The sequence below is a fragment of the Homo sapiens genome, chromosome 17, assembly GCF_000001405.40.
Source record: "Homo sapiens chromosome 17, GRCh38.p14 Primary Assembly".
NCBI classification, from domain to species: Eukaryota; Metazoa; Chordata; class Mammalia; order Primates; family Hominidae; genus Homo; species Homo sapiens.
The window spans coordinates 71726809-71748780 of record NC_000017.11 but is presented as its reverse complement, the minus strand read 5'-3'; the positions used below and the strand labels follow the sequence as shown (position 1 = coordinate 71748780).

The window sequence follows — 21972 nt, the reverse complement described above, 5'->3', positions numbered from 1 at the left end:
AATACCAGGAAGATGTGCATAGAATTTTCCAATCCCACACTTCTGGGTATATATCCAAAGGAATTAAAATCAGGATCTCAAAGAGATAGTTGTACTCCAATGTTCATTGCAGTATTATTCACAATAGCAAGTTGGGGAAGCAAGCTAAATGTCCATCAACAGATGAATAGATTAAAAATGTAATATATATATATCACATTATATATATGTATATATATGATATACGTGTGTGTGTATGTGTATGTATATATGTATATATATGTGTGTATATATGTGTGTGTGTGTGTGTGTGTATGTATATATATATATATATGTGTGTGTATATATATATATATGTGTGTATATATATATATATATGTGTATATATATATATATATATACGTATATATATATATATAAATAATCTGGCCTAAAAAAGAAGGAAATCATGCCAGGTGCAACAGCATGGATAAACTTGGAGGACATTATGCCAAGTAAAATAAGACAGGCACAGATGAACAAATACTACATGATACTACTTATATGAAAAATCTAAAATTGTCAAACTCATAGAAGAACACAATGGAATAGTGGTTGCCAGGGGATGGGGAGGAGGGGAAACAGACAGATATTAGCCAAAGGGTACAAAGTTTTGGTTATACAAGATAAATAAGTCCTAGAGGTCTACTGTACAGTATAGTGCCTATAGTTAACATTATTGTATTATATACTTAGAAATTTACTAAAAGTGTAGATCATATGCTAAGTATTCTTACTACTACTGATAATAAGAGAGCAAGAGCAAAGTTTTGGAGGTGATAGATTTATGGCATAGATTGCAGTGATGGTTTCATGGATGTATACTTGTCTCCAAACTCATCAAGTTGTATATATTATGTACAGTTTTGTATGTCAAATAATATAAGTAAATTAAAAAGAATATTAATTTGGGAATAAAAAATGTCAGTGATTTGAAATAATCAATGGAACATGGCATTTACTAGAATAACAATAAATAATTTTGAGAGCCCACTCAGAAGTTAGAGATGCTAGAATTTAATGATATCTAGACTGAAAAAGAAATCTAGGGCCATATCATACATTAAAGTGGAAGTCGAAGCAAAGAATCTGCTGAGATTTCAAAAAGAGGCATGCGTATGTTAAGAGAAGGGATTGAACTTGGACTCAGAAGAGTGAGGTCAAGCAAAAAATCATCCTCTGGTCTTCCTTCTTCCTTTCTCTTTTTCATTCCAATTGGTCTCCTTCGAACATTTGTCCATTCTCTTCCCACCCTCATAACATAATGTTAACTCATTCTGTGTTTTAGAATTATAGTCAGATGATTTATTTTCCCCAATAACAGACAGAAGAGAGTAAGATAAGTTTACCTAAGCTGATGTAGTTGAAAGTGATTTGCTGATTTAGAAACAAAATCAACTGACTTGGGGGTGGGGGAAGAGGCATCATTAAATCCTTGAGAAATGGAAGTGTTCTTGAATAAATGAGCTCACGTCTGAATTTTACAAGAAACTTTCAGATCTTTAAATAAGCTCTTGGCTGAGAAATGTATTCAAGTTTATGAAAAGGGCGTATTGGTTTGCAAAAGGGGAAGAATAAACAGTCTAAGGAATATCAAACACCAAATACGAAATATTTGTGGGAATATTATTATAAAGTCTAGCTGCAGTAGGTGGCAGAATGATACATGAGGCCCAAGCATTAATGAAAGGAAGATGGCGTTCTACTTACTTACTTCAAGAGAAATGGTGAAATAGTTGCAAGAAGAGAGATGGCCAGATCACCCAGGGAGCATGGACCAAGACCAGACCAAGTCTCCTCCAGAAGACAAGGAAGCTTGTGTATAAGAGTCAAGGAACTGTGTGGGCAGGACTCAGGAATATGTACTTTTTCCATGTTTCCAAAGAGTATAGAGAGAATGTTAGGAGAATAAGCTCCAATGGCCTGAAATCATAGATTTTGTCTGTTTTCCTTTGTAGAATGGGTCCAGGTCTGACTTGGAAGCCCAGGGAAGTCTTCCTAGACAGTCTGTTCCCTCTTACCACTACCCACCATCCCCATTCAGCAATTGCTAGATTCTGTCCACTTTCCTTCTTTAAAAGATTCTAAGTCTACATGACAGTGTTGCCTCTTTGAAGCCCTTGTAATTTTTCACCCATATTGATGTAATATTCACACATAATACTGCAGCCAGACTAATCTTTCAGACAAGGCAAATCAAATGAGATCTTATTGGCCTCCTGCTTAAATTTCTCCAACAATTCCCCATTGCTTTCAGGATCTGGTTTTACATTATAACATAGAAGGTGTTTTATGATCTAGCTTATACCTAATTCAACTCCCATCAATCACCAAACCTTGCCAAATCTACATGCACGTGTGCTTACACATGCATGCACATACATACACATATAGCCCCTACTACATTGAAATACTGAGCTACTTACAGTTCTCTAAATACGCTACAGTCTACTTTGTTTTAGCACATGCTACTTTTGAAAGGAAAGCTGTTACTACTGTATTCTACTTTTTAAAGTCTCAGCTTTAATATAACCTCTTCCTGGAAGCCTTATCATAGCAGAGTATCCAATGACTCTCACAGTAGAGATCGTAATCTATTAAAATAAGATAACTCATCTACCCTTCACCATGTGGCTTGAGTGTGTGGAGAACAGGGATTGCCTCTTTAACTCTCTTCACAGATTTTCAATAATTGCTATATAAAAGGCTAGATCAATGAAGCTCAAAGCAAAATGTTTTTCTTATAAATTATGCAGTTTTATGTGTGATCTAGGATTTGATCCTGTACTGGCATAAAGGGGGAGGAAAGCAATGAAGGACGTTATTGAGATTGTTGAATATGTTTTGATAATTTTGCGTTACGTAAGAGAATATTCCCGTTCCTAAGAAATACACAATACTATCATGTACAATAAAGTGGCATAATGTCTCCAACTACTCTCTAAGGTTCATCAAAATTACATAGCTGTGCAGACAGAAAGATTGGTAATGCAAGTGGGGAAAAGATAAACACTTGGTGAATATGAGTAAAGGACATACAAGAGTCCTATTCTTGCACAGTTAAAGTTTTTATAAATTCAACATTACACCAAAATCAAAAGTTGAAATAACAGTTAAGAAGGATCCTCCAAGAAACTGAGAGATAGTAGAAACCAAATGTCAAGAAGCCTGCCCTCCACTATAAAGGTGTCAATAAGAAGAAAAAGTTCATAGAAAAAAAAAGTAATGAGAAGTTCCTTAAATTTATAAGAGTGGTTTTCTCTCTTCTGTTTCTTTGATGATATTGGAACTCCTGCCTCTAATATTCTTCATCTGATCTTGTATTCCTTGACTGCACAGGCTCTAATCTTGCCTTATTCTGAACATTTCTCTGACAAGCACCTTCCCAGTCAGATCTCACCTTCTTTGCCTTCTACAAGACTTATCTCTGCCTTTGATACTGGAATTCAGTCATAGCTGAATTCCGTATAAGAACTATAGTTGCCTGTAATGTTTTCATTTCTCTTTGGTTGTTCATTTACAGTTTAATGTCTTTGAGGACATGAACTGTTTTTGGATGTTCCCACAGTGCCTAGCTTCCTCTGATGAGAAGGATGTAAGATGTGCTAGACCTTTTGAGAAACTGCTTTCTTTGTGAATGTTTACAATATTTGAGAAACAAATATTGTAAAATTGAATGGATGAGCAGTAGTTTGGTGCAGTGAAAAGAATAAAGAAAGGACAGGGAGCCAGGAGACCCAGTGGTATGTCTGTAGGTGAGTCATTCACCTCCTCTTGATTTCAATGTCATAGTTTAAAAAATGAAAATTGGACTGTATGACTACTAAGATTCAGTCTTGTCCTGAAGCTCTATGCCTACACTCACAACAAAGAAATATAATCGCAGAAAAATCATACATAATACAGTATGCAAATAAACCTTAAGGGAACAAAAACATGAATAGTTAACCGAAGTAGATAGGTACAAATGACTTTTTATTACTGCCTAAGACAAAAGAGACAACGCTTCAAAGACAAAATGCTACAGTCAGTCCATAAAAGTCCTAAGTCATCATGGATGAAAAGAAGAAAAGCAAATAATGGAAAAGGAAGGCATATGTTTATCACTGAGAAATTAGACAAACTGTCTATATTCATTCAACGAAGTACTATATAGCTGTTATTATGACTTAGGGCTATATGTGACATATTGATGACACTCAATGCTGTGCATAAATATAGAATAAAAAAGTTACATATGGATATGTACCATATCTACCATTGAAAAATACTATGTAAAAATACACACATGAAGTAAAATAATGAATACCACATTTTGGAAAGTAGTAACTTTTGGGAGAAGTGTAATAATTTGGGGAACTGGTGTGCAAGGAGCAATGTTAGAACAATTTACTACTTAAATGAAATTTGAAACAATTAAGAAAAATGCAAAGATTTCAGAATGCTGGGTAAGTAAAGGTAAAAATGATGTTTCTTACATTTCACTCTTCATTAAAACATTCTGAGTGTTTTGAATATTTCATAATGAAAGAACAAGAGGAGAGGCAGCAAAAAGGGGAATGGTGTCTCAAAGTCTTAGGGGTTAAAATATTTCAGGAAAGAGATTTTAAAAAGAGGGACAAGAAGGAATAAAGCTAGATGCAACACAGAAGTGCTCCTGCAAGTTTGCTGAAATAACCATAGATGTGCAATAAGAACGCTCCCATTTGCATTCTAAAGACAGAGCTGACATCTTTCTGTGTATTAAGAGAGAATTGAACTGTATATTTCTAATGCATGCTGTTTGAATTCAGGCATCCAGGTTTTAGAATATAAATCAAACTTTCCTTTTTCCCGTCTTCAGCAAAAGCTGCTTTGCTTAAGTTTTGTAAATAGATGTAGCCTTATTTGGGAGATGGTTTTTTCCTCTGTGGGAAATGGGAGCAAAAGTGCTGCGTGGCCATTGTTTCTGACAGTTCATTTATGCAGATGAAACAATCCATTCATTTGGTGAATCCATGGAATTAATGGCTTCCACTTTGTACTTTCTGAAAAATATACAGCGTTTCAGGCCTCTGGATTTACATTCTACAGAGTTTCTGGTATAATGGAATAGTTTCAGGTCCCTGGAGGGCAGGTATATGGCTCTGCAAGAGTGTTGATGGCTTTCCTAACACACAGGCGTGTGCATTTCTAAATGTTCTCACTTGGGGCAGATTTTTAAACAGCCCTTTGACACAGTGTGGGAGAAATGCTTCTCAGTGACCATTTCTGAGGAAAGTTGCTTAGAGACTTGGGCCCTAGTGCTGAAATGTGACCAAGTCATCTTCTCCTTCAGGCAAGAGGCTTCTAAACTGAGAGTAAGTATTATTTTTTGTAGCAATTTAATGAAAACTTTTTTTGGAACAAAAATCCTTAAAACGTGATTTTTTTTTCTTCTGTGTCTAATTTGGTACTTGTGGGAATTAGTATTTAGCACACTGAGAATTAACATAAAGTGATCATACATGAGGTGGGAGAGAGTTTATCAATTAGCCATTGCCCCACAAAAATATAATTCTCCACTATATTTTATTTCTTTATTCATTTTTGAAACAAAGTCTTGCTCTGTCACCCAGAGTAGGGTGCAGTGGGGTGATCTCGGCTCACTGCAACCTCTGCCTCCTGGGTTCAAGTGATTCTCCTGCCTCAGCCTCCCAAGTAGCTGGGATTACAGGTACCGTACACCATGCCTGGCTAATTTTTGTATTTTGGGTAGAGATGGGGTTTCACCATGTTGGCCAGGCTGGTCTCGAACTCCTGACCTCAGGTGATCCACCCACCTCAACCTCCCAAAGTGCTGGGATTACAGCTGTGAGCCACCGCGTCTGGCCTATATTTTAAAACGATGTTATGGTTGGACTCATTCTTACCTCTAATAGGAATAATTGCATTCTGCCACCGAGGTCTTATTAGGTCTCCACTCTCTGGTAGCTGTGAGTAGCCCAGCTACTTTAGGAACAAATGGACCATGATTAAACAATTAGTGACAAATCTATGGCACTTTTATTTTTATTATTATTATTTTTTATTTCAATAGCTTTAGGGATACAACTGGTTTTTGGTTACATGAATGAATTGTATAGTGGTGAAGTCTAGGCTTTTAGTGAACTCATCACCCAAATAGCGTACATTGTACCCAATAGGTAGTTTTTCATCTCATGTTCTCCTCCCACCCTCTCCCTTTCTAGTCTCCAATGTTCACTGTACCACTGTGAACATGCAGTATTTGTTTTTTCATTCCTGATTTACTTCACTTAGGATAATGGCCTCTAGTTCCATCCAAATTGCTGCAGAAGATATTATTTCATTCGTTTTATGGCTGAGTAGTAGCCCATGGTGTGTGTGTGTGTGTGTGTGTGTGTGTGTGTATGTGTGTGTACCACATTTTCTTTATCCACACATTTGTTGATGGGCACTTAGGTTGATTTCATATCTTTGAGATTGTGAATTGTGCTGTGATAAACCTATGAGTGCAGGTGTCTTTTTAATATAATGACTTCTTTTTCTTTGAGTAGATATCCAGTAGTGGGATTCCTGAATTAAATGGTAGATCCACTTTTAGTTTTTTTAGAATTCTTCAGACCATTTTCCATATAGGATGTACTAATTTACATACCCACTAACAGTGTGTTAAGTGTTTTTTTTCACCACATCTCTGCCAACATCATTTTTTTTGACTGTTTAATAATTGCTAGTCTGACTGGGGTGAGGTGATATCTCATTGTGGTTTTAATTTGCATTTCCCTGATGATTCATGGTGTTGAGCATTTTTTCATATGTTTGTTGGCCATTTGTATATCCTCTTTTGAAAAATGTCTCTTCATGTTATTTGCCCAGTTTTTAATAGGATTATTTTATCATTTCTTGATGGTTTGAGTTTCTTATAGATTTTGGATATTGATCCTTTGTCAGATGTATAGTTTGCAAATATTTTCTCCCATTCTTTATGTCGTCTGTTTATTTGTTGATCATTTCTTCTGCTGTACAGAAGCCTTTTTAGTTTAAGTCCCATTTACTTATTTTTGTTGTTGATGCATTTGCTTTGTGGTCTTAGTCATAAGTTATTTGCCCAGATCAATATCCTATGGCATTTTTAGATATTCAATATCAAGTTCATAAATATGACACATAAAAAGTAGAATGAATAACAATGCCTAGGAGGACAAATTGCAGAGTTACAATAAAGGTATTATCTAATTGATACTTTTAAATCTTCCTAGAAATTATTAAAAAGTGACTGATATCCTTTTATGAATGTAGTGCTATATATTGCTATCTTTTTTATCCAGATCATTGATATGATTTGTATATTTTATTTTGCTCACTGTCACTGCTTTTCCTTCAGTACTATTAATTTTATTCTATGAATAAATTAGTGAAACATTCACTTATTCATTCAAAACCAGAAAGTGTCATCTTATGCCAACTACTTTGCTACAAATAAGACATGCTCCCCATAGTGAAAGTGCCTTCAGTCTAAGTGGAAGGGTGATTGGGGGGGCAGATCCAAAAATTAGTCAGTACTAGACATCTATTACATTTTGATGTACACTGTATTCCTTTCTTTAGGGAACTGCTCTGTTCCCCAACCCATGTGATTTTTTGGATCTATCACCCCTGCCAAAAGTTGAGCATGTGAATCAAACTGGACAATCAGAATAATTCATGCCTTGAGACTTCATGATTAGTGCCGCATAATGCAAACGTGAACAATCAAAGCCCTTCTGTGCAACTGCTATGGGCAGAGGCAGAGCTGGGGGAAGGGGAGAGGGGGAGAGAGAGAGAGAGGAAAGAGAAATAAAGAATCTTACTTTTTGAGATCAGATGCTCGGAATGGTACCATGTGATTCAGGAGAGGCTGCAGGTTCTCTTGCTGACCTACAGAGAGATTGTGTACTACACTGAAGTGAAGTAGAGATAATCAGATCGAAGAAGTCAGGAGAGAGAGAGGAACACACTTCTGAAGACATCCTTGATAGTTACATGCCTGAAGCCAGTTCTACCCCATAGATTTCCCAGAGCCAAAATATCTCCCATAGTTTTTATTTTTTATTTGTTTATTTTCCATCTTAAATTCATTTGAGTTTGATTTCTATCAGTTGCAATCAAATGGATCTTAACTACAACCGTTAACCAGGTGGACTTTATGAGGAATGAAAGAGGAGAATGATCTGGAATCAGTCCCTTGTCTTCAGTTCCTTCAATGGAGTGGGCAGTGGGGATGGAAAGGAGAGTAGGAATTAAGCCAAAATTGAGGAAGCTAAATTTTGAGAAAAAACGAGGACAATTGTCTATCAGAAGATCAAGTATAGAAAATGATTGTCAGTTTCTGTCTAGCTGCCTTTCGTGGCATAGCAGACATGTCCACCCATCCACAGTACTTCGTAATTGTAGAGCCCCATTTGCTCAGGTGGTAGGTGAGGATCCTTTTATTTCAGGGTGAGATGCTTTTCCATTTTCAGGGGGTGAATCAGGTTTCAGGAGAAGTCCTGGTTTATACCTGTTGCCTGGTATAATTTTCAATATTTCTTTTTGATGCGGAACAGGCGGGCCCCAAAGTGCAGTTTGGCCCATAAGGGTTCTTGGCTTTGCCTAGGAAAGAATTCAAGGGTGAGCTTGTGATAGTGTAGAAGAAAACAGTTTTACTGAAGCAGCAGCTTACAGCTCTGGAGGTGTTACAGCCCTGTGACTGCTCTTGCAGAGCAGGGCTACCCCATAGGCAGTGGACTGAGAGTAACAGCTCAAGGTTGTTTCACAGTTATATTTATACCTCCTTTTAATTGCGTGTAAAATAAGAGATAGTTTTATGCAGAAATTTCTAGGGAAGGGGTAGTAATATTTAGGTTAACAGGTCATTGCTATGGAAAGGAGTGGTAACGCAGGGGGTGTTGCCATGGTAATGGTAAACTGACGTGGGCGTGGTAAACACTGGTGGGCTTGTCTTATGGAAAAGCTGCCTGTGCCCCGTCCCTGTTTTAGCTAGTCCTCAATTTGGTCCTGTGTCTGAGTCCCGCCTCCAGAGTTGAGTTCTGCTTCCTACCTCACTTTCACACTCAAAAGTGTTCTGTCTGGGATGATAAATTTCATGGTCTTTTGATCATGGCCAGACTGCATCAGGCATGGACTCTAAATCAATAGTGATTGGTCTTCAAAGGAAGACTTGGGACCTAACTCTCGTGAGTGAAACGTGAAAATGTTTCTGAGCAAAGCCTCAGTAGTGCACAGATATCTGTTTCCCTCAGAGTACTAAATTTCATCATTTAAAAATATTTGCTAATTTGATCATTTAAAATGAAAACCCTTTAAATTTGAGTTTCTCTACTGGTGCAATTGAATATTTTGTATAATATAGTGAATTTGTTTTTTATTGAACTGTATATTCACATCCTTTCTTTTTTCTATGGGAAACTGCCTCTTACTCAATTTTAACAGATTTCTATAAATTACTTATACAACATTTAGTTTTTCATTACATAACAATTTTACCATATTTTTGTTTGCCTGTTATTTTTTTTTCGAATGTTGGTCTCTTCTTTTTTTAAAAACATGTACAACATGGTTAGTGAATGTCTGAATATATATAATTATATAGAGATGGTTTATTGCTTCTACTGGAATATGTGCTTTTTTTTTTCTTTTTTTCTTTTTTTTTTTTTCTGAGACGGAGTCTCCCTCTATCACCCAGGCTGGAGTGCAGTGACATGATCTTGGCTCACTGCAGCCTCCATCTCCCAGGTTCAAGCAATTCTCCTGCCTCAGGTTCTCAAATAGGTGGGATTATAGGCACCCACCACCACACCCGGCTAATTTTTGTATTTTTAGTAGAGATGGGGTTTTACCATGTTGGCCAGGATGGTCTTGAACTCCTGACCTCAGGTGATCCTCTCACGTCAGTCTCCCACAGTGCTAGGATTACAGGCATCAGCCACCGTGCCTGAGATTTAATGGTCTAAATCAGCTAACATGCCATTTTTATTGGGAAGTATCAAGAATTAATCTTGAAAGATAGTTGCATGTATATAGAGAAATATCTTGAATACTAGGGTAAAGAATTTGTGTATAAGTTGTTGATTAGTAAATGAGGATGAAGATACTACTTTCAGTTCCAGTCTGTTTGAAGTTTCATAGCCAGAGAGACTGGAGGAGCCCTATCAGTTGGTTAAAGAGGATGCACTCCATCCCTTATCCTGGGTCCTTAAAAAGAAACCAATTTTCCACATCCTATGGGGTGATGGGCTCAAACAAGTTTTGTGAAGAAGAAAAAAAGATTGGAAAGCTTTGTGGCACTTGCCATTGGTAATATGGAGTGAAGTTCTGGAGTAGCATGAGCCATGGAAAGGCAAAATGGATGAAGAGATTCATCCTCTGCTGGAATTAATCACTCTTTACTCATGTCCCCTAAAGGAAAGTTATTTTGTAGCCTCTATGCTATAATGCCTCTTTTGCAGTCAATTGTTTACACGTTTCATTTGCTACAAAGATGTGAGCTGTTAGCTTGTGGGAAACAGTACCCAACGGGTTCAATGACTGGCTACTGAGCTGAATTGTTGCCACTATTGTACAAGGCCTCAAAAGAACACCATACATTCTTACCACCCAAGGGTCTCAATGTCCCAGAGTTCCCAATTATCTCCTTATATTCCTATAATTTACCCATGGAACCAGTATCACGCTGCTGTTTTCTTGAACACTGTAGTTCTTTTATATTTTTTAAGTATGCCATGATAGTTAAAAGGGTGGTTTCAGAAGCCCGAGTCCTTTGTTCAAATCACTGCTTTATAACTCTCTAGCTTGGGAAACATAGAAAGTTATCTTACCTCTCTGATCCTTAATTTCTTCATCTGTAGAGTGGGAAAGACAATGTTATCAACCACTTTGTACATCAGGATACTTTCTGCTGAAAGTGGCAGGAAAACCTAGGTCAAACTCATCTACCCAGTGATAAAATTGATCTCACATCAGTGGAAATCAGGAAGATAGCTTGGTCTAGATGCAGTATGATCAGTGGCTCAATAGTGACACTCAATGCTCAGATTTTTCTCTCTTCTGGGACATCTTATGATGTGGTGGCAATGAGATTGCATTAACTCAAGCTGTCACACTCAGGAATATTGGTGTGATATCAGATGAAAGATTATCTCTTTTACTCTATCTTCTTTTTAGAATACAGAAACCTCTTATCAGACTTCCTTTCCTATGTTTTTTAGTAGGTTTGGTCGCATGCCCACGCTTAACCCAACACTGAAAAAAGGAATGGCATTGTAATAATTATCATGAGATAGTCAGTTGAAATGTACTCAACAAAGCAACCACCATGACTGCTATGCATGGTTTGTTGTTGAGTATTAAATGAGATATTGCATATAAAGCACTTCAAACAGTGCCAGGCACAAGTAAGCTCTCAGTGAATCATTATCTATTATTAGCTATGGATCAATTTACTTATTTTTAATAAAATGAAAATAATAGCTATCACTTGATATGTTTCTCTGGGAACATTTTGTTCCAGTGAGCCATCAGACTTTAAACGAAAACAATATTTAATGGTGGATTTGCAGACATCAGTGAGCTGGGTTATTAAGCTATTTTGTGGGCTTGGGGTACTTTCACAGAAGAAATTCTTCAATGAGAAGCATTACATCTTCATAATTTTAGCTTCTATTGAGACAGGGAAGTTAATGAAGCTAACAGGAAGTAGAAAAAGAAAAGCAGAACAAAATTCCTCATCTGCAACTTGGTCACAGCCCCTTCCCTTTCTTTAGCATAGGGAGTTATCTGAGCTTTATGGCTATTGCAGTCCACCAGAGACCTTAGAGGCTGCCTTTTCTCCTAGCAACCCTCATGCTGTCCCTTGACATCCCTTATATTTCCCAGATCCAGAACAACATCAGATAGAGCCCTTTTAGCTTCAGGCACTGGAGGAGGTATTTCTGCAAATAATCACTATTGTTTTTGCATTGTCTCCAACTCCTTCAGAATTCTAATCACAGAATAGAGAAGGAGAGGACAAAGGCCCAAAGGTTTAAGATTGCTTGGTGAAGACTGAAGCAGGAATGTCAGTGAACTGCCTCACAAATCATTCCTGAGGAGTCCCGAGGTGCAAAAACAGATCTGCTCATAACGACTAATGAGGTGTCATGCCATGATTTTTCCCTCCTACTATACATTGTATTTGTCAAGGGGAGAAATTCTGAATAGGGAACAGTTCATAGCTTGACCTCAGGTTTCAGCTCAGGGTCCTAATTTGACTACCCACTTTAAAATACTTCATAAGCATTTTCTTGTGCAATCAATGTACAAGATTGGTTGGGACAAGCCTTAGAGCTTTTTGCATGAGCTCTCCTCACTCAGGGTCACCACTGATAAACAACCATGCAAACTTCTGGGCCTTACTCACGGGAACTTTGGTTGAAAGGGGCGGTGCAGGTGTTTCCATAACCCTTACCTCAAATGTGCCAAGGCTCTGGCGCCTTCAAGACTGGTTTGGGACTCTTACAAGACCAGCCATTCTTGGGGAGGTTTCCAAGAACTTCCTGTTACTAGTCAGGCAAAAAGAGAGATGGAGAAAAAGTAAAAACAACTTCATTTCTTTTTGGGGAGTTCAGCATAAATTTTGCGGTCAAAGAGTCAGAAAATGCCAAGCTTGCAATAAATGTCACCTTTTTGGTAGTGCTGTGGGTGAACAGATGGTTAGTGGGACTTTTGGTGGGAGAGATGGGGGCGGTACGAAGAAAATCTTTCATCAAACCTTTGCAGAATAATTTCAATAAACTATTCCTTGACATCAGCAAATGCCTATCACTTCCAAATTTAATTAGTGGCTTTTCTTTATGGCCTTGAGCTTAGTTGCATAATCATGCACTTATTCTTTCTGATATTTAAGTACCATATTAATAAAGGAAATATATGTAATACATACTTGTGGAATTACTGCTTTCAGCACTTTCTTTGGGATCTTCAAATAGAATACATAAAGATATGGTAAAGGATGTTCTTTGTTATTGCAACATCTCTTAAAAGGCTTATTACTTTTTTTTCCAGGAAGGAAAATAATTTGTTAAGTGTCTTAGCTACTGCTCGTTGAGCTGAAGTTCAAGAAGCACCTATCTTTTTTTTTTTGACAAAGCTATTCAAACTTAGAAATGAATATTTTGCCTCTTTTGCTAGCCACAGTGCTACATTTCAAAGCTCATTGGAGCAATTAATGTACAGGAGTCTCACTGTATTTTAATGCAAAAATAACAGAAGAGAAAGCCAATTCTAACAACTAGTTCAAGACAACATTTTATAGTGCATTTTTAAATGGCTCTCCTGGTAGCTTGGCTGTCTATCAGGAAGAAAACAAACCAAATATTGGTGAGCTTGTTAAACAGAAGTCTACCACCCCCTTGTCTATTTCATAGTCTCCTCCCTTTGAAACACACACACACACACACACACACACACACACACACACACACATTTTCTAATTGTAAATGAGTGGACAGTTTATTTGCAGCTGTGCTATGGTCAAACCAGATGCACAGAAAATAAATACAGAAAAGAGAATGATCCTCTGAAAAACATGTATTTATAAAAGCCTCCAGCAAAGTGCCTCAGTATGAATGTGGCTGAAACCTAAGGGCCTCTTTATCCCTGTGTAATGAAGAAATCACAAACAGTAGACTTGAAAGTATGAACTCAGGCTTCAGGATTATTTAAAATGTTATAAATTACTATAATCACATCCAATATGCATTCATTCACCTACCATACAGTAAATATATATATATATATATATATATGTTGAATTTAAAATATATGTAAGTTACTGTTCAGGAACTGGAGGTGCACAGATGAACATGCATGCTTCCTGATCTCAAGTATCTCCTAGTTTCTCCGCAGGGGTTACAGGAGAGGAGAGAGAAACCCATAATTACAATAGAATATAGCAAATGTAGTGCAGAAATAGGAAAAGTGGGCTCTCATTGTCCAGAATATGGTGAGTGGTCAGCACAGTCTAGGGGTGATAAGAAAATAATTTCTGCAGAAAATATTGTCTCAACTCTGTATTGAAGTATGAGTGAAGAGTTAGTTATACAACAGAGGGTAATAAAGGAAAGAGACTCGAAGCTTCCGGGACAATTTATGCAAAATCCTGGGGTCAAGAATAGCTTGATATGAAAAATTACAAGCAATTGAATGTTGCCTAATGGCACCCATAAAGGAAGGGGCATATTACCAGATAACAGATGCAGGCAGGAGCAGAGCTCAGAAAGTCTCTCTGTGATACTTTAAAGAGCTTGGATTAATCTTGTAGATAATGAGGAGCCACAGAATGGTCTAAACAAGTGTCTGGCATAGCTAAATTTTTGTTCTCAATGAATTATTCTCTATAGAGGTTAGATTTGAACAGCAATATACTAGCAAATGTTTAACAATTTACTGTCTGGCAACAAAAAGTCCTGATTCTAGCATTTGCCAATTTCCATGGTGTAAATACTTTCATTTTAGCAAATTTTAAGGTGCCAATTTAAAGTCACTAAACCCAGAGCTGGGAAGAGAAGAGCATAATTGGATTTTATCCGCTAGTAAAAGTTGATTCCAGCCCATCACTGGATTGGAGGAGCAGATTGAAGAATGAAGATATGTTAGGCCACTTACACAGTTTAGGCAAAAGATAAGATGGGCCTGAACTAAAGCAGAGACAGCTAATGTAAAAGAGAGAGGATGGCTAACCTAGGTGATTTTTTGGATATGGAAGGTGAGAAACAAGGAAAAAAGGGTAACTCCCTGTTTCTACCTTGAGTCACAGGCTTAATTGCTACACAGGGAGGAGGAGGAGGGAAGAATGCTTTAGGTAGAAGATGCAGCCAGGTGTGGAACATCTTGGTGGTGTGTTTAATCAGTGGTGGTACATATGATTCTGAATCCTGGACGCTAAGGGAGAGGTAGGCATTTGAAGAAGAGTTGTTGGTGGAGAGAGTTATCACTCTCTTGGTGCTGATGAAATCATAGGCGAATAAGATTGACTGGAAATGTATAGAAGTAGAAGAGTAGAGGAGAACTGTCTAGCTGTTGTGCTGCAGTATCCTGGTGTGTCTTAGATAGGTTATAAGTACACAGAAATATTGATTCCTTTAACTTTGGGGCTGCTATGGGGTGTCTAGAAATGACAGGGCAGGATTTGGGCCAGCAGAATTTCAGGAGCAATGATAATGGCCTTATCATTCCCTGTTCCTTCATGTCCTGTGCAAATGTTATCTTCTAAGTGTTTCTGGATATAGAAAAACATGAAATTCTAGCATATTTTACAACCCTTGATTATATCCTCACTTAAGGGGGAGATAAAGGAAAATAATCTTTAGAGGGAGACTCAGAGGGAAACATCAGAGAAGGTCAAGGAGAACCTGCAAAGAGTAGTATCAAGGAAACTAAATATTATATTTGCAGAATGAACCTTCTTCTCTCTGGTGATCAATTACCAAAGTATGCCGGTTCATTTTTATATCTACTATCTCCTGCATTTATTCATTCTTTCAGAAATCCAGATAATCACACTTAGGTGTCAACTCCCTGTGAAGTGTCAGGTGCCAGGTTTTTTGAACATTAGGTATTTATTTGGTTCTGACTGATAGCATAGAGCAATCTAACATTGTAGGAAGGAAGAGTACAAATTGGTCTTTGTTGTTTTAGAGACTTAGTGATCGTGTTAGTGTTTCCACTATTTGGGAGAAAGTGCAGATCTCCTCCCAAGGCAATTCACAAAGACCAAGGAGATTCTTTCTGACATTCGGCTAAGAACCCCTTTTATTATTGTTAATATTTTTGAGATGGAGTTTCTCTCTTGTTGCACAGGCTGGAGTACAATGGCGTGATCTTGGCTCACTGCAACCCCTGCCTCCCGGGTTCAGGCGATTCTCCTGCCTCAGACTCCCGAGTAGCTGAGATTACATGCGCCCATCACTATACCTGGTGAATTTTTTGTACTTTTAGTAGAGATGGGTTTCACCATGTTGGCCATGCTGGTTGCGAAATCCTGACCTCAGGTGATCCACCCACCTTGGTCTCCCAAAGTGCTGGGATTACAGGTGTGAGCCACCGAGCCAGGCCAAGAACCCCCTTTTAAATTACTTAATTCATTCAGAAATACTTGAGTACATACTGTGAGCCAGACGCTGGGTTGAGAATTTAGCAAATGAAACAGATAAAGCCCTTGCCCTATGGAGCTCACATTCTGGAAGTGGGACAATAAGCAATTAAATAATGATGGCAGATAGTATGTCAGATGATGATGAGTGATATTGAGACAAATAAAGCAGGAGAGGGGTAGGAATGGCTGGGGAGAAACTACATTTTAAATAGGGTGGTTGGGGAGACTCCAACACTTACTAAAACGTATCAGTGAAGTCTCCTGAGTCATAATGACTAAATTCAACCAGGAACCCGCACAAAAATCGAATGCATTGTTATTTTCCCAGAGGAACTTATTCTTATTTAAGAACTTATTTAAGAAGACTCAAGGGCCTGGTTTTTATATCCCAATTTTGGCTCGTGAATCCAGCTTATTTTGTATTCATATTAGTTAATGGCTAAACCTTTCTTTGCTCAGTGTTCCAGAATGAATACCTATCATCAGTCTGCCATGCGTTGAATAAATGGAGCATTGGAAGTGTCCCTAATAGTCTTTTGGGTCTTGTGGCTTTGAAAGGAGATATTTTTAATATCTTAAAATTTTAACCTCTATACTATCTCACTCATCTTGTATCCTTTTATTTCTGGAAGAAAAAAAAAAAAAGGCCCACTGGCAATTTTACTTTCTCTGTGAATAACTTTCCCCCAGAATCTGTATTTTTCCTAACTGAGAGATGGCTGAAGGCAAATCCTGATTTGCTGACTTTACTCTGCCCCAGAAACTCAGGACATGGCTGGAAAGCTGCTGCTCTTGGGAGTCTTAGGCCATGGGGCATCCGGGGTAGAAGAAGCTGTGGTTATAATGAAGTCCCTCAGGTCCTTTAAACATAATCTCCCTTGAATAGGATTCAAGACCAATTTGTATTGGACTGAATTTGGCAAAACAGATCTTACCAAATAGGTATATTCACGAAAGCACAAATGAAACCAAGTTTGATAACTCAAATCCCACCTGAAACGCTCTAAGGAAAATCACTGAGGATGACATCTAGTGAATCCTTTTGGAAAGTGAATAATTGACACCAAGTTTCTCTTAGTACAAGCACAGATTTATGTATTTGGGGTATGTCTGTAACTGCTATACCTCTAAGGAAAATTTTGAGAACACATGAATTACACACTAAACAATGTGATAATCAATCTTTATTGTATGAGATATTTTCTAGAAGAGTTGTCTCTGCCTAGAAGAAGGCTCAACATCTTTTTCTGTAAATACCCAGTGAATTCTTCCGCTTTTGGAAGTCTTGTGTCTGTTACAACTGAGAACTCTTCCATTGCAGCACAAATGCAGCTATAGACAATATGCAAATGAGTAATGTGTTGCATTAATATTTTATGAATGCTAAAATTTAAATTTCATATAATTTTTGTGTATCATAAATTTTTCTTGCTTTTTTTTCCAAAGCATTTAACAACATAAAAGATATTCCTAGTCTGTGGGCCACACAAAAACAGATGGCAAACTGGATTTGGTCCACAGGGGATAGTGTGATGATCCAAGAGCTAGAAAATTATGTTATGTACTGTTCACACATTATTTCCTCCAGATTTACATGATTATCATTCAGTAGATGTTTGGGACATTGTTTGTACGTCTGTGTATTTAATGGATAAAGTTCCAGCCAGATTTCCAACATTTCCTCTGGGCTTTTGAATGAGTTATGGGACCTTTCTGACTCAGTTTCTTTACCTGTAAAATGGGGAGAATGATACTCACCTCTGGTGGGTGATATAATAATTAAATTATATGATATTTATGAAATAGACAGCACAGTGCTTATACATAGTAACTTAATAAATAAATGTGTCTGTTGGCAGGCGTTTCATATTTCCTCTCACTAGAAACATATTTTGCTCTTGAAGTTTCATCTCTAGAGGGCAGATATGTGGCTTATGAATCTGAGGCTGAATACTAGCCAATATCATCTTTCAGCTTGATGTCATGGATTGTCTCTTTCCCGGTGGTTGTTCCTCTAGCTAGAGAGAAGATTTGTCCCTGTTGGGTATTTCTGGTCATCCCTGGCTTGCCCAAGGAGCTGATAGTACAAACTGGCCTTCCTTGTCTGTGGTTTCTTTAACTTGCCTTCCTCATTAGATTCCGAGCTGTTTAAGGAGACCTCCTGATTTGATTAGCCAATACATCAGTCAATTTCTCTTCAATAGGAACCCTCTTAGTTCCCTTTTACCAATCACAAGGCATATTAGTCAGTTCTTTCACTGCTGTAAAGAAATATCTGAAACTAGGTAATTTATAAAGAAAAGAGATTGAATTGGCTCATAGTTCTGCAGGCTGTACAGGAAGCGTGGCGGCATCTGCTTCTGGGGAGGCCTCAGGGAGTTTTACTCATGGCGGAAGGCAAAGTGGGAGTAGGCGTCTTACATGGCAGGAGCAGGACCAAGAGAGAGGTGGGAGGTGCCACACACTTTTAAACAACCAGATCTCATAAGAACTCACTCCCTGTCACAAGAACAGCACCAGGAGATGGGGCTAAACCATTCATGAGACCTCCACCCCCATGATCCAATCACCTCCCTCCAGGCCCCACCTCCAACACTGGGATGACATCTCCATGTGAGATTTTGGTGGGGACACAAGTCCAAACCATATCACAATATGGCCTGAGATTTTGGTTGCTGTTTGTCATCATTAACTTACAAAGGATATGGTTTGAAGGGCCATTTCTTCCCTGACACTTTGTTTTCTGTCTTCTACATTCCTTGAATATATACATTAGGTCAGTTTTGACACATTTTTAGATAGGGAGGAAAGCTTTTCTAGGGGGTGCTCTCTCTGGATTGGATGCAGAGAATGAATCGATGATGGACCACACAAGTCAATATAACAGCCGGGACTATAGAGAGGAACTATAGAAAATGCAGCTCTTGGCTGGGGGTAGTGGCTCATGCCTGTAATCCCAGCACTTTGGGAGGCCCAGGAGGGCGGATCACCTGAGGTCGGGAGTTCGAGACCAGCCTGACCACCATGGGGAAACCCTGACTCTACTAAAAATACAAATAATTAGCCGGGCATGGTGGCACATGCCTATAATCCCAGCTACTAGGGAGGCTGAGGTAGGAGAATCACTTGAACCCAGGAGGCAGAGGTTTCAGTGAGCCGAGATCGCACCATTGTACTCCAGCCTGGGCAACGAGGGCAAAATTCTATCTCAAAAAAAAAAAAAAAAAAAAAAAAGAAAGAAAGAAAAGAAAATACAGCTCATTCAGGAACCTAGAGGTAGAGCAAGAAGTAGAAAAGTCTGAAGATCTCATAGACACGATGACACCGGCATAAGAGGAAGCAAAGTGTTGACTGCTTTTTATCTTCCACTTCTGCAAGTGGGGTATTTTCCTAAGAGGTGTGGATATATATAGTTTGTTGCCAATATAAGATAAAAATATTACATAGAAAACAAAATACATTGTGCTTGTTATGTTAAATGTGTATATATTATAGAATATATATTATATAGAATAGACAGTAAAGCTAATACCTAGGGGTAGAATAAAATATGAAGTGCAGGTTCCCTACTGCCCAGGGCCTGGGGCAATAAAGATGACTGAAGAGGTGGAAATAGGGACTGCTGTTTTATGGCCACCAACAAGGAGTTGCTTTACTTCAGCATTCTTTCCAAGTTTGCTCACTTCTTTTTGCTGTAGAAATGATTTTAGAGCAGATTCTTGCCACTGACAGCTGGATCATAGTTAAGAATTATTTTCACCAAGCCTATACAGGCTGAACGTCTACTCTCAGACCATGGAAGGCTGTTTCAGCTTTAGTCACCAGGAGGTTAGATCCATAAGCTTTCCCGTTGTCTGTTTCTACCTTCCAGTTCAACCTGGGAAGGATGGATCAGCTGAAAAGTCCTACCTCGTTGGCACTGGGAAAAGGCTCAAGCATAATAAATGCTGAAGTTGCTGGGAAGTTAGCAAACTACCGGGCAACAGAATAATGTTTTGATAAAAGAAAAATGGCTCAGAAAATAACAAATGTTGGCAAGGATGTAGAGAAATAGGAACTTTTGTGCATTTCTGGTAAGAATATAAAATAATGCAGCTGTTATGAGAAGCAGTATGGCGGTTCCTCAGAAAATTAAAACATAGAATTGCCATGTGACCCAGCAATTCCACTTCTGGGTATATATACATCCAGCTGGAGAGCATTATCCTAAGCGAATTAATGCAGGAACAGAAAACCAAATACCACATGTGCTCACTTACAAGTGGGAGCTAAACATCAGGTACTCATGGACATAAAGATGGCAACAATAGACACCGGGGACTGCTAGGGTAAGGGAAGGGTTGAAAAACTAACTGTTAGATACCACGCTCAGAACCTGGGTGCTGGGATCATTTGTACCTCAAACCTCAGCTTCACGCAATATACTCAGGCAACAAACTTGCACATGTACCCTCTGAATTGAAAATAAAAGTTGAAAAAGTAAAACAAAATAATTTAAAAAAGAATTGAAAGCAGGACTTGAACAGATATTATATACCTGTGTTTCTTAGCAGCATTATTCATAATAGCCGAAAGGCAGAAGCACTCCAAATGTCCATCAGTAGGTGAATGGATAAACAAACTGTGGACCATGTGTACAACGGAATATTATTCAGCCTTAAAAAGAAAGGAAATGCTGACATATGCTACAAATGGATCAATCTTGGAGACATTATGCTAGGTGAAATAAGCCAGTAACAAAACGATAGATATTGTATGATTCTACTTATGTGGGGCTTCTAGGGTAGTCAGATTTGTAGAGACAGAAAGTAGAATGGTGATGGGCATGGGCTGGTGAAAGAGCAATGGGGTTGTTATTTAATGGGTATGGCATTTCAATTTAGAAAGGTAAAAGCATGTTCTTGACATGGATGGTGGTGATGGCTGTACAATGACATGAATGTACTTGATGTCTTTGAAGTGTATATTTGAAAAATGGTTAAAACGGCAAATTTTGTGTTGTATTTTACCACAATTTTTTTACAAAGCACAATGGAAGGAAGGGAGGAAGAAAGGAAAAAAAAGGACGGAATGAAGGTGGGAAGGAAGGAAAGAAGGAAAGAATGGCCCAAACCAGCAGATGTTAAGCCACAGTGGAATAGGAACCTTCGTTTCAGAACTAGGCTAAAGCCAAACTTCCCATAGAAAATTATTTCTGTTTAGTGTCTCTGTGAGCTGGGAATTAAATATTTCCCACCATTTCTCTTCTTGGGGCAGCGAGCTGAGCGAAGAGAGAAAAAACAAAAACACTGTGCAACAATTTGTTGGAATAACTTTGTTCTTCAGGACATGAGCGTGTAAAATTGCTGGGTAGAATGTAATACTGAGTGCCACAATGTATGGAACAGATGAACCAGGAAATTCTGTTCTAGAATAATGTGGTCTGCTGAATAATTCAGGACTTTCCAGTAGGAAAAGGACTTGCAAAATGCAAGCATGTTCCCTGGTGTTGGCCGCCTCTTTCTCTATTGCAAACATGCAACTTCCTCACTTCCCCTCAACAGCATAGCTATTCCCAGGTGCACCCTGCTGTCACTTGTCTTTAAGAACATTTTGTTTTATCCTGAAGATGGTATGAAATGTCAATGAAAAGGATGCAGGCCTTCATTTGTGGTAAGAAGATATTATTTTAGTGTTCAAAAAGTCTTTGATCATTTCCAGTGACTTTGACCAGTTGACATAGCCATGAAGTGCAGCCTCGCCACCAGCTTGGAAGGCAACACAGGGAGCAAAGAAGCAAGAGCGCATGCATCCTTGTGCTT

General features: G+C 38.3%; 1 annotated feature.

Moving 5' to 3' along the window:
• Positions 4791-5333: an enhancer, noted in NCBI's record as "enh4". NCBI's record gives the evidence for it as "EXISTENCE:reporter gene assay evidence [ECO:0000049][PMID:21408189]".